Source organism: Homo sapiens, chromosome X, assembly GCF_000001405.40.
Source record: "Homo sapiens chromosome X, GRCh38.p14 Primary Assembly".
NCBI classification, from domain to species: Eukaryota; Metazoa; Chordata; class Mammalia; order Primates; family Hominidae; genus Homo; species Homo sapiens.
Window position 1 is genome coordinate 30,679,638 of NC_000023.11, and position 14,224 is coordinate 30,693,861.

The window sequence follows — 14,224 nt, forward strand, 5'->3', positions numbered from 1 at the left end:
TTTACTTATTTCCTTCTCTTCTGCCTGTGTCCCTCTGCACCCCTCCCCCATTCTACGTGCTTTGCAGTATTAATTCAAATGTTCATAGGATATGAGGAACTCTTTTCTTCTATCCTGAGCCACATACATGTTTTGAGAACCTCTTACATGTTTGATGTTATCTTGGGTACTATAAAGGATACAAATTATATTGGCTGTTTTTTTAAGCACTTTATAATCTAGTTTTGGAAAGAGAAAACTAGATTAGGGAACAATCCATAAAACAAAATTAGGGAATAGTTGATAAATCATGTGTTGATAGGTTGAAAAGGACTTAGAGCAAGTACATATCAGTATGGATTTTGAAATTTTAGCATACTTTTCACAGTGGAGGTTGAACTTCACTTGGGCCTTGAAGCGTATATTGGATTGCGTTAGGAAAAGAGAAAATTGAGGAATAATGTGAACAAGCTATGAAGGTGAAAATGTGTACACATATTTTGCCAGAGTAAAGAAATGGATGAGTTTCATGCATAGGTTGACTCATTTTTTTTTATTTTTAGTAGAACTAGCAGCGATAATAATACTCAGTAAGTGCTAACTGCTATTACTTTGGGATTGTGCTAAGTATTTTACCCATATTATTTAATCTCACTGACCCTGTGAAACAGATTTTACTACCCCTATTTTATAAATTAATTGTGGAAAAGCTCTATAACTTGTCCAATGGCATGTAGCTATAAGTAGAGTAAAGCCACAGTTTAAACATGAACACTCTCCAACCTTAAAGCTTGTGTTCTAATTTGGGTAGACAGGGGTTGGTGAGGATATAGAGGGGGCTGAAAGCCATGCAGTGTAGTGTAGACTTAAAACACGGGGCAGCTTGAGGCAAAACAGATGATAAAGGAGAGTTTAGCCATCCCATGATGGTGGAATGGGTTGTTTCAAACACACCAGTATGCGGAGAACAACCAGAAAAGCTGGATGAAAATGAAATAAAATTCTGAAGAACTGGAAGGCTACCAAGGCAGTGAGGACAGAAGGAAAGCCCAGAGACATAAGCCTAGCATTTGGCATTGCTTATCTCCTGGAGATATCGGTAGGTTCTGAAAGGAGTATCTGACAGGCTAAGCCACACTTCTGCAGGTCCATAAAGATAAGGAGGCAAAAGGTGAAGTCAAGGGCTGCCAAGGGTGGGGATGAGTGTTGGTAAAATCCCAGACTTTGGACTGGGACTGTGAAAGGTCAAATCCTGGAAGTGAGGTAAACTGAAAATAAACCAACCCTCACAGGAATTGAAGCCCAGATTCAAATGATCTTTAACACTAATTGGATTAAGATGATCTGAGATTGCTAATGCTAGTGGCCTAACTTCCTTTCAGAAATAAGAGTAAATCCTTTCTGGAGGAAGACAACATCATCTAGAGCCTCAAATAATCTCTAGAATTTTTCATACGCATTATCTAGTTTTCTATTTAAAAAAACCATGCATACAAAACAAAACGTGACTGAAAAGCAACAGAAACAAGTGACATTAGAAACAGACTCAAGAAATTCAGATATTAGAGTTTTTAGAGTTTAAAATAGCCATAATTAATATGTTCAAGGAATTAATTGACAAGATTGAGATTGATAATCTTGGCAAAGAATTGGAAGTCCAGTTTAAATGGACATTCTAAAACTGTATTAAGAACTCAATTGATGGGGTTTTACCATCAGAGGAGACATAGCTGAAGATGAATTTGTGAGCTGGAAGATAAATCAGAACTGGGAGAGAGAGTAAAATATTTAGACTGAAGCACAGAGAAACAAAAGTTTAGAAAAGGCACAAAAGAATCTAAGAGAAATATGGGAAAAGGTGAAGAAGTTTAATATATTTGTAATTGGACTTCCAGAAGGAAAGGAATGAGAAAAAACGAGGCAGAAATAACATTAGACAGATAATGGGAGAAAGTTTTTCAAAACTGATGAAAGATAGCAAGCTGTAGATTCAATAAGCACTATAATCCCTAGGCAAGATAAATATACAGAAGACCATACTTATGCTGGGATATGAAGATATAAAGTTTTGAAGTAGCTGAGGAAAAAAGATATATAACCTTCAAAAGAGTGACCCTAAGACTTTCAGCTAAGTTATCAGTGGAAACAAAGGAAGTCAGAATGCGATGGAATGAAACCTTTAAAGTACTCAAAGAAAGTAACTTCCACATACAGTTCTATATCCAGTGAAAAAATTATTAAGAAATGAAAGTGAAATATACTAGGAGTTGGTGAGGATATAGAGGTCACCAAAAGCTATGCAGAGTAGTGTAGACTTGATACACTAGGCAGCTAACCCATTCTCTTAGTCCATTCTGGTTACTATAACAAAATACCCTAGATTGGATAATTTATAAACAACAAAAATTTTATTGTTTATACATTGGATAGGGCATAAGGAGGAGGGAGAAAATAAAGCAGGCCTGTGAGATTTTCAGCCTGAGAGAACAGAAAGAAATTAAATAATATTTAGGGGGTACCAACCTGAGAGAAAAAATGGCCTTGTTTTCGACAAAGTGAGTGTTGAACTTGTAATAGAAGCTAATTCTGGGCAATGAGAAATTAGATGGTTCCAAATGTAGACTTGAAAATTGATAACATAGATGTGATAATCTCAATTTATTATGGATGAACTCACTATAGTAATTAATATAAAATTAATTCAATGAAAGAATAGGTGCCTTTCTGTGTTCTAGGTTTTGTGATAACCCTTGGCATATAGTGACAAACCAGGAAGACCTTGTACTTGACTTTCTGCTACAGAAACTAAGGATAGAAGTTTGGAAGCTAGAAGGAGAAAGGGAAATAGGAAAGGAGGAGAGCCACTAAGAAATGACAAGGATAGATTCTGCCTTCAGTTTTATTTCATCCAGGAAAACTCTAAAGTGTCATATCTCCATGTAGGTCTTCAGTTGAAAATATCAACATAATATTAAATCTTTAGCAGTTTTATTCTAAAGCAACACAAGGTAGGATGGATGGAAACAATGAGATTTTCACGTATATTTGTCTTTGAACTTCTTTTGCTTTGTTTATATCACAGTCTGCAGGTTTTATACTTTTTTCTCTGTCTCGGTTCAGGCTGCTTTAACAAAAATATCATAGACTGGGTGGCTTATAGATTAGAAATTTATTTCTCACATTTCTGGAAGCTAGAAGTTCAAGATCAAGGTGCTTACCCATCTGGTGTCTAGTGAGGACCTTCTTCCTGGTTTGCAGATGACTGTCTTCTCATCCTCATATGGCAGACAGTGATAAAAAGAAAGTAAGCTCTCTCTTTTTATGAGGGTACTGATCTCAATGAGGGCTCCACCCTCATGGCCTAATTTATCTCTCAAAGGTCCCATCTCTAATACCATCATATTAGGGGTTAAGATTTTAACATACGAATTTGGAAGAGACACATACATTCAGTCCATAGCATTCTCTTTGTATGTTTTCTTCCTTCGTTGTCTATTTCTCTTGTAAATCTCTGTAACTCTATGCCTGTCCTTCTCCTCTTTATTTCTGTCTTACTAAATTATACAACAGATGATATATGCATATATATATACAGCTGTATATAAATATATATATTTTAAATACAGATAGGGTCTCGCTGTGTTGAGTAGGCTGGTCTTGAACTCCTGGCCTCAAGTGATCCTCCCATCTCGGCCTCCCAAAGTGCTGGGATTACAGGTGTGAGCCACCATACCCGGCCAGATGAGCAATATTTATTACAAACAAGCATATGAGAGGAGCACATTATGTTTCCCTTTTTAAAAACTTCTATGTGGCCTCCTTTGTTTATGGCTCAGGGACACTTGATAAGCAATAATTCACTCACCCCCACTACGGTAACAGAAAAACCAAGATAGGAGAACTTCAGGATATCATTGGTGGCCACGGCATAGGCTTGATGAAGGTAAAGACTGAGAAGGGCTATTTGTTTTTGCTTGCAATAAAGGTGTGTTTGTTTATTGACATCTTTTCTATCAGATACAATTATAAACAGAAAAAAATTTAAATGGGTCCATTGAGGAAGAGATGGCCTAATTTACAAGTTCTATGTATTTTTAGAATTTATCTGTTAATTATGTGATTAATAAGGTAAACATTAATGTGATATCTAAAATGGGAAAGTGTTACTTTGCATCACTGCTTTCCAGCCACTGTGCCATGATGCAGGCATTTACAATAATGACCTCATTGGTGGATCAGCAAGAGCTTTGTGGCCCTGGAACCAAAGCAGGCCTTGGGCTTCTCTTGCCTCTCTTCAGTTGCCCTAGTCTTCCTGGTACTTCTCTCTTTCCCTTTTAGCATTATCTTCAATATTCCCTTCCACGGGGTTTCCTCTACCCACCCATTTTTCTAAGCCTTTTCCTTCCAAAAGCAGCTTTTATTAATGGTCTACATAACTGGTTGTCTTCTATTATTGAAAAAGTAAATAAGCCACAGACTAAACTGACCAAGAAGCACAAAACTACCCAAGTAGTTAAAATGTGAAGCGGGAGAAGGCTTGAATCAGTGATGTTTAGTATGTTTACACACACATTTTACTGATGCTACCAGGGAAATGTTCTGTCCAAACTAGAATGGCCTAGCTGTATTTCCCCCTAATTGGCCAAGTTTGCTCACTCACCACTGCAGTTGATTGGTATGTATGGTAAGTATAGAGCAATATGACCCTCACTCTGGTAGCTTTCTGTAGAGCACAATTCTTGATTTAATATAAAAATACCATTCATAGGCCAGGCGTGGTGGCTCACGCCTATAATCCCAACACTTTGGGAGGCCCAGGTGGGCGGATCACCTGAGGTCGGGAGTTTGAGACCAGCCTGACCAACATGGAGAAACCCCGTCTCTACTAAAAATACAAAAATTAGCTGGGCGTGGTAGCGCGTGCCTGTAATCCCAGCTACTAGGGAGGCTGAGGCGGGAGAATCGCTTGAACCCGGGAGGCGGAGGTTGCAGTGAGCTGAGATCGCGCCATTGCACTCCAGCCTGGGCAACAAGAGCAAAACTCCATCTCAAAAAAAAAAAAAAAAAAAAAAAAAAAAGCATTCACAGTAGGGACTAATCCAGCAAGGCAAGAGTCCCTGGCTTAACACTTTTAGGATATTAAAGAAAACCACCCACAAAAAATATTTCGTTGTCCCTGAAACATTTTTCTATATTTAAATGGTAGTGCAAACATTTTTTTCTAAGATGTTATATTTAAAGTTCCCAATGGCACACATAACTCTTTATGGAGAGTGTTGCAATTTTAAAGATTGGTTATCGTTTTTACATTTTTTTAACATACTGGTTAATACTGGGCCAATTATTAAACCTATGTGATCATGAGTTGAGATCTGAACCTTGAGCTCAATCCTTTTATCTTTTCTGGAACTGGCTTATGTTTCAAAGAATCAGCAGAAAAGAAAACCATAGATGACAAACCACCTAAAACGCCTAAGCACACTTAACTTTAAACAATAAAGTATTTTTTTTCTTTTTTTTTTTCTTTTTTTTTGAGACGGAGTCTCGCACTGTCGCCCAGGCTAGAGTGCAGTGGCGCGATCTCGGCTCACCGCAAGCTCCGCCTCCCGGGTTCACGCCATTCTCCTGCCTCAGCCTCCCGAATAGCTGGGACTACAGGCGCCTGCCACCGCTCCCGGCTAATTTTTTTTGTATTTTTAGAAGAGACGGGGTTTCACCGTGTTAGCCAGGATGGTCTCGATCTCCTGACCTCGTGATCCGCCGGCCTCGGCCTCCCAAAGTGCTGGGATTGCAGGCTTGAACCACCGCGCCTGGCTAAAAGTATTTTTTTTCAATTAGTTCTTTGTGGGAGAAGGTTTTTCACTTTTGTAAAATCTAGAATTTTCAGCTTTATTAAGATCCACTTATTTTCCGTTAAAAAAATTCCATTATTACAGGATTCTTTGAAAACCTTACATCTCCCTCAATCCTGGGTAAAGAAATACTGCTGTATTTATTTTGCAGTGATTGAATTATTCAAATCTGGCCAAATAAAAAGAAACTGACTTAGTTTTCAACTTTGAGTTCTCCAATCTTTAATAATTATTTTTATCCCGTTAAGACTGTGACGTCATCATGGCTATACCTACCTAGAGGTTTAATTCTAGATTCAGGTTCTGGGTTCAGATCCTAGCTTTTCCACTTCCTACCATTCTGTGCCTGTTACCTTGACAGTTAAACTGGGGAGATGAAAAGTGTAGACCTCATAGACTTGAGGTGTAGATCAGTGAGTTAATCCATGTAGGATACTTAAGCCAGGGCCTGACGGACTATAAGGCTTCAGTAATTGTTAGCTAGGGCCACTGTTCTGAATTGGCTGATAGCCTTTTTCATCCAGTAATGCCAGATGAAATGATTGGTTTATACATGATAGGTGTTCCTAGGGGAAATGCAGAGCCTACCTAGGATCACCCACACTCAAGTCAGTCATTGATATTTTGGCATTTTATACCCAAGAGCTGAAATTGGCTTCAGCCCCCGCCTTTTGGCATATATGTAAATCAATCTTTCCTTCCCAACTCTGTTTTACTTTTGGCCCCACCTGTTTCTGAGAATGTCATCAGGTGAGGGGCAGCCATCAATATAGTCTCTTCCACCTTGCAAATGACCACTTACCCAGCTTAATTAATAGCTTAGCTTTTGACAAATAGTAAAATGCCATAACTAAATCTGTTTTACTATCATGTCTCTTGTGGGAGAAACAACCCAATAACACTTTGTATAACTGTCAGCAGTCTGTGCTTAGGATGTGTTCCATAACCTGGAGCCTCACCTTCACCTCACTTCCTATCACCCTAGCAGCTCATGACAGACCATCTCAGAGAAGATTTATTATTTGCCTGTTTCTAGTCAAATGGAAATCAGCTAGATGATTTTAGTGGGGTTTTTTTTTACTTTATTTTGTTTTTCCTTCTATTGTCATGACTAACGAAAAACTGGAAAGTTATGAGGTTTTATTATTCTAAATATTTAAAAAATAATTTATTCCTCTGTACTGTTTGTTACTATGTCACTAACTCTAGCCCATGGGGATTGAGGCAACTACATTTATCTTCACTCTTCAAACTTTTTTTTTCCAGAACAAACTAAATCTACCAGACAGATTGGATGTGACTTTATTTAATACAAATAAGTTCAGATCATCCAAGTTATTTTTATTAACTTACTTATTTGATGGGCTTGACCATTTACTTCTGCTTTACTTGGTGTAGATAAGGGGAGGGACATACCTTCTAGAAGTGGGCTGTCTAGTGTTCTGGACTCCCTAGCATCAATTTTCCTTCTATTTTTTTCCTAATTACTTTGGAAGTTAGCAATCCCCTGTTCCCTCTAGACACGTTGCTCCCTTCTGTGAAGGTGCCCTTTACTCCCAGCTATCTTACCAGGAAAGTGCTTTCTTGGGGACCTGCCTTCCCAAAGCAGCCCTTTCATGTCTTAATGTAGATGGCCACAACACAGACTGTAGCATGCTCCTTGCCATTCCTTTCTAACATCCTCTAGGATTGTGCTCCCTCAGTACATCATCCATCATTTCAATTTAGTGGTTGAATGAGTAGTCAGTTACCACCTGAGCCACTTTTCTAATTAGGATGCATATATGTTGCCAGATAGAGAAGAGTCATCCTAAACAAGAAGCAGGTATTTACCTGGTCTTCATCCAAATGGAAATATTATTGAATCAGAGATTCATACTGGACTTCCTTTGTTCCCTTTCTGCTCCCTGCCTCTTCCTTTTCTTTTTCTACACCAATGTGTAGAAAAAGTGTTCATTCTGATAAACTTGCCCAAGTGATCTACCATTTCCTAAATGGTCAACAAGAGACCTTGAACCTGGCCATCTCTAGCGTGAATTGCCCTTATTTCTTCTAATGCTCCAGCTGCTCCAGTTTCTCCTGGCCCTTCAGTTCCAGTTGCCGTTGTTCCCTCTGGCTCTTCAGTTCCAGCTCCTGGTACTTCCTCAGGTATTGGTGCTCTGGCTATTGCTCACTTCCCAGCCTCCCAAGTCCTATATGTTGGGGGAAATTGACTTCTGCTGCCAGATCTGGATCTGTCATTCCTTTTGATTGTTCTCAGAGATTACCTACACAAGGGGCTTAGTCCTCCAGCTTGGGAGTCTTCTCTTTGGCTTTTGGTCTCTCTGCAAATCTAATTCTGCCATCTTAGCTTCTTTAATAAGTTTTCTAATTTTTTTGTTCTTAATTCAATTAATTTTGAGCATTTGTGAATTGCTTGGTAGTGTACCAACCACTGATATTTTTCTCTTTGGCAGTTTTACTAATGCATTCCATGTATTCTAACTGCCTTAATGTCTGTCTATAAAAACACAGTAATTATTATGACAGGTTTCTATGATCATGGAACAATGGAAGGAGAAAGACTTTAGAGACCATCTAGTCCAGCCTCCTTATTTTATATTTAGAGAATCCAGACCAAGAAGGGTAAAATGAGTTGCCTAAATCACATAGCTTATTGGTGGCAAAGCCAAACATTGAATTTTGGTCTCCCTGATTTCACATCCAGTGTTTTGATTCTTTGTGGTAAGGATTTAACTCTGTGTTTACCACTATTGTCAGTCACAGCTGCAAACTTTCAAGTGAGGAATAAAGTGCCTAAGTGGTCCTTGCCAAGGAGCAATAGAATCACAGGGCCACTGGGACTTGGAGAACCATCTGATTATCGGGGGGGTTCTTTAGATTTTTTTAAACATATAATTGGAACACACCTAGTATTTTAAAGAATATGCTCTTGAAAAGATGAAAAGAGTTTCTCCCGGGAGGCGGAGGCTGCAGTGAGCCGCGATCGCATCACTGCACTCCAGACTGGGTGACAGAAAGAGACTCTGTCTCAAAAAAAAAAAAAAAAAAAAAGGGAGAGAGAGAGAAAGAAAACAGGTCCTCATGTTTTAGTATTATACTGAATTACTTGAGACACTTTTAACAAAAGTACAGAGGCTCAGAGCTCAGGCCTTGCCTAGACCTGCAACCAGAATCATGCAAGGTAGGGCCTGAATTTTAAGGTTTTCCAGGTAGTCCTGGTATGCTTTATAGGAAAGAACCACTGCCGTGAAGTCTAGCAGTGTTTCTCAAAATGGGGCACCTATTTAAAAGTCAGATTTCTGGGCCTCATTCCCAGAACTACTGTCCTAGAATTTATGGGGATGGAGCCCATCTTTAAGCTCCCTTGTGAATGTTATGTCCATTAAAATATGAAAAAACACGGTCTAGAATATTTTAAGTCATTAACCAAAAAAGCCTGGGGCAGTGGCTTTCAAATGTATTTGTTCATGCCCCTTGGTAAGAATTACATTTTACATAATGATCCAGCAAATCCACATAACTAAAACAAAAGTTTCACAAATCAATATTTATCTTACCCAGTGCACTGAACTCTGATATTTTCCATTCTAATTCATCCTATTTCAATTTTTAAAGTAGGTAATCAAAACTCACTAAATTCATTTTTAAACTCATAGCTCACTGTATTTTGAAACACTGAGTATTGAGATGTGCTTGTTAATTTTACCTATCATAGATTTAAAACTTTTCTAATTCTTCTACTTTTTCTAGTTATTTCTGTGAGCCAATAACACCTGCTAGGATTGCTTACCTGTAAGGAAGGTCCACATTTGTCACAGTCATACAGTACTGCCACTGTGTAAAAGTAGACTGCCCTTGTTCCCTGGGCATGGGAGATCTTGCCACCTCCATGATGATGTCACTAATGGCTTGTATCAATCACAGTGTAAATAATAGAAAATTCTATTTCAACTAAATGAAGTTTAAAGCAGGGGGCAGTTCTTTTGCTCTTGGAAGCAGCAGTGCAAGGGTAGCTAAGTTCAGGTGCTGTTTGATTCCAGACTCAGACAGTATCACCTGCATCCCCCTCAAGCCTGCCTTTTCTGGGATGGCTCCTGATGTGGCATATTCAACTCCCACTTCATGAGGGCAGCAGGCCCAAGCCACACACTGCCAAGGTCAGCTGAGAAGAGGGACTCTTGCAGACTGAGCACAAATCTCTTTGACCACATGTTTCCTGATCCAGTCACTGGGGCCCAGACCCATTCCTGGAGCTGGGAGTAAGATCAAATCTCAGGTACACTACATGGCTGAGGGTGAGGGTGGAACGATTTCCTAAAAAGAATTCGAAATACCTCTCCCCAACAGATGCAGGAGGAGTAGATACTGGGCAGCAAATGCAGATGTTATCTATTATAGGCCATCTATTTTCATGGTCTTTCTCTTTTCCCTCCTGTTTTCTTGGTTGTGGTGAGTCTTTTCTTGCTGCTTTTCCCACCTACAGAAACCCGTATCTTGTCCTGAAGTCCCCAGTTTAAGTCTTGTGGAAAGTAGCCACTGTCAAAATGAAGTGCAGGGCCCTCCAGGGAAATGACAGCATAAGTAATTAGAAAGAATTGATTAAAATTTACTACAGGAAATAACTGCTTTTTAGTGAAGAGAATGGAGTAATATAGAAGAGTTAACCAAACTGCACAATGATTGCTAGCATTCAAATATGTGGTAGTGGGCAAGCTTGTATAGTCTTCCCTGGAGTCCTTTAAATAGACTATGAAACTGAGTCTTTTCAGGAGGTATCTGAGCAGTCAGTGTCCTAAAAATATCAAATGACCACAAATAGATTAAAAGTTATCGAAGTTTAAGTACAAAACTTAAATCTGGCAAATAAAGCTTAGCTGATTCTATTGGCTGCCTTTCACAATTACTTTATGTACTATTTAGTGTTTCCTCTTCCTCAAGCCTACTAACATGAAGTAAAACAGAAATCGTTTCCACCAGGGGGTTAGAAAGTAGATAATAGCTACTTAGTAAAGATAATGTTGATCCATTAAAATGGAGATTTTTTTTTTTTATACTCCAGCAGAGAGAAAGAATGGTGCCTTTAAAAGGATTCTAATGATTCCGGGTCTAGCATACTTGGAAAGATTTCAATGTAAATAAGCATTTCATACATAACAGACGGAATCTTTTGTTTCCTGAATAACAGAATCAAGTTATCTACTTTGTCTTAGTCACAAATTGCTCCCTAGTTTGTTAAGATGCACACTTTATATATGGTATGATGATCCTGGGTTTTGCATTTTGTGCTACCAACTAGCCTGCCTAGCTTTTAGATATTCTCTGGCCTCATGTATACTTAGAAAATCTATATTCCAAATATTTTTTGTAGTTTTGTTCTATAAAAATAATACAAAATAAGCACTCTAAGGTTTGTATTATTCTCCTAACTTGGTCTGTAATTTTGCATAAAAGCTTTAAATCCTCTCATAAATTTATTTTTATCTAACAATATGCCCATTCATTTCTAATTTTCTAATTTCTATCTCTTAAAAGCTATAGAATTTTAATTCCTTATAGAAACTAATCAGTCTTTTATCCTTGATAGTGATTTCAGTAAGTTCTTATTTTTTAAATGAAGTTTTTCATGTATATTATTTTATTTTGGTCTATAGTGTGGCTTGATCTAAGAACCCAGTCTACCGTTGAGAGTCTTAGTAAAAGAATTCCAGGAAATAATAACTTTGTCAAGGTAAGAATTTCTTCAGAAGTATACTATAAGAATGTTTCTTTTTTTAAAAAAAGTTTGCAGATTTCACTAGAAAGAAGCATCTTATGGTACAATAGTTATTTGATACAATTTATAGAATCTTTTTCCCGGATAATTGAGGCCAACTCAAGTCTTTACCTTCCCGTCTTTCTTGCTCTGTGGTGGATTGGAACAATAATAACACAAAATTGACAGGCTGGAAGAGATTATAATGCGTCCCAGTGGCTTAAGTCACACTTCCCAAGGGGTGCTTTTTTTTTTTTTTTTTTTTTGAGACGGAGTTTTATGCTTGTTGCCCAGGCTGGAGTGCAATGGTGTGATCTCGGCTCACCGCAGCCTCTGCCTCCTGGGTTCAAGCAATTCTCCTGCCTCAGCCTCCCGAGTAGCTGGGACTACAGGCACGTGCCACCATGCCCGGCTAATTTTTTGTATTTTTAGTAGAGATGGGGTTTCACTGTGTTAGCCAGGATGGTCTCGATCTCCTGACCTCATGATCCGCCCACTTCGGCCTCCCAAAGTGCTGGTGGGAGGGGTGCTTTCTATAATTGAACTATGTTTTCCAAATCTATCCCTATTTTTTCTACTGCCCATCAAAGAATGTTCTGGCTGCTTTTGAGTTTTTAAGCATCTGGATTCAGGGAGAGAGAAAGTAAAAGACACTCTAGCCCTTTATTGAACCCCTCTTCCACTTTGTTCATATGAAGAAGGCTAATAAAACTGCCTAATTTTCAGTCCTTGTATAGATCCCTCTTCACATAAAGGAAGGGAGAGTGAATTTTTAAAATAGGTGAGGAATTTTTTTTAGCAAGGTCAAGGCCAAGTTCTTCTAGCGTCTAAAAGGAAGTTCCCTTTTTCTGTTTTTGTTTTTTGTGTTTTGTTGTTGTTTATCCCGTTTTTATTTGTCAGTGGGATGCTTGTATCATTTTCTTCTAAAACTATTGTTGAAATCCCATTAATTGCAGTAATCTGACCATTCCGTCCCCCCACAATAACTTCAGACTTGTCCTGAATAAATCATTTTCTATTCCGTTCCCTTCATCACCCTGCCCAATCCTCATCCTCACCTCCAGCTGCACTCTGCTTCGAGGGATGCATGCTTTTCTCTCCGATGTCATTTTAGGCAACTTTTACACTTTCTACCCCCATGATGAAAATAAGATATTATGTACTACCTCGCTATTGACTTTGTGAGATCTTCCCAGGTCATCTTTTGGGATGACCCTTGTTCCTTCAAATTAAATAATATTTCCATAAAATATCTCCTTCCATTTTTTTTTTCGAGACAGGGTCTCACTCTGTTGCCCAGGCTGGAGTGCAGTGGCACAATCTCTGCTCACTGCAACCTCTGCCTCCTGGGTTCAAATGATTCTCCTGCCTCAGCCTCCCCAGTGGCTGAGATTACAGGCAAGCACCACCAAGCCCGGCTAATTTTTATTCTATTTTTAGTGGCCAGGCTGGCCTCAAACTCCTGATCTCAGGTGATCTGCCCGCCTCAGCCTCCCAAAATGCTGGGTTTACAGACGTGAGCCACCGCGCCCGGCCTCCTTCCATTATTTTTGTGCATTGATTTTTTTTTTTTAAAGAAAGCTAGAAAACCTTGAGTTAAGATTTTTAATTTACAGGTTGCATTAAAGTATTAAATCCTTTGGTTTGAGTTTTCTTACAAAACCATACTCATATGAGATAGGAGGGAAAAAGTTATCACTTTCTGTAGTTAGGTGATAAATAAGAATACAGATGGGGAGGGGAATCATAGTTGCATTATTTTTGTGTATGTATTTTCTTTTTCTTTTCTTTTTTTTTTTTTTTTTTTTTTTGAGACGGAGTCTCGCTCTGTCACCCAGGCTGGAGTGCAGTGGCGTCATCTTGGCTCACTGCAAGCTCCGCCTCCCGGGTTCATGCCATTCTCCTGCCTCAGCCTCCTGTGTAGCTGGGACTACAGGTGCCCGCCACCATGCCTGGCTAATTTTTTGTATTTTTAGTAGAGACGGGGTTTCACCATGTTAGCCAGGATGGTCTCCATCTCCTGACCTCATGATCCGCCCACCTCAGCCTCCCAAAGTGCTGGGATTACAGGCATGAGCCACCACGCCTGGCGTATTTTCTTAACTAGTTAACTTTAATCAGCCTTTATATACATTTAGTGTTTAATATACTAACCACAAATGAGTTGGGTTTGACCCATTCTCAAGGAAGATTGGTAAGCACATATGTGTTTCATTTTTGCCCATTAATCTTTCTTCAGTTCACATTCCCTCTGTTTAATATATTTGCTAAATTTAGGCAACTGCTGTTTTAGATAGAGTAATTCTGTGTTGCTTTATTTATTTTTTATTTTTTATTTTTTTTGAGACAGAGTCTCGCTCTGTCATCCAGGCTGGAGTGCAGTGGTGCAATCTCAGCTCACTGCAACCTCTGCCTCCCAGGTTCAAGCGATTCTCTTGTCTCAGCTTCCCAAGTAGCTGAGATTGCAGGTGTGTGCTACTATGCCCAGCTAATTTTTATATTTTTAGTAGAGACGGGGTTTCACCATGTTGGCCAGGTTGGTTTCGAGCTCCTAACCTCAAGTGATCCACCTGCTTCAGCCTCCCAAAGTGTTGGGATTACAGGCATGAGCCACCACACCTGGCCCTGTGTTGCTTTA

At 39.0% G+C, this 14,224-nt stretch overlaps 1 protein-coding gene across 15 annotated transcripts in view; it reads left to right on the top strand.

The window, feature by feature from the left end:
* The window catches only part of GK (glycerol kinase), a 78,040-nt gene that overhangs the window by 26,215 nt on the left and 37,601 nt on the right, over positions 1–14,224 (top strand). For 11 of the 15 annotated variants that reach the window (NR_174369.1, NR_174370.1, NR_174373.1 and 8 more), the window contains one exon: positions 11,486–11,562. Coding sequence is in view for 8 of the 15 variants with exons in the window: in NM_001205019.2 (NP_001191948.1) it covers positions 11,486–11,562 (77 nt within the window). In the remaining 7 variants the exon portion in view is untranslated. Of the gene's footprint in view, positions 1–7,895; positions 7,980–11,485; positions 11,563–14,224 lie in introns of all 15 variants that reach the window. The other 4 variants (XM_011545491.3, XM_011545492.2, NM_001437590.1 and 1 more) reach the window with 1 other exon arrangement.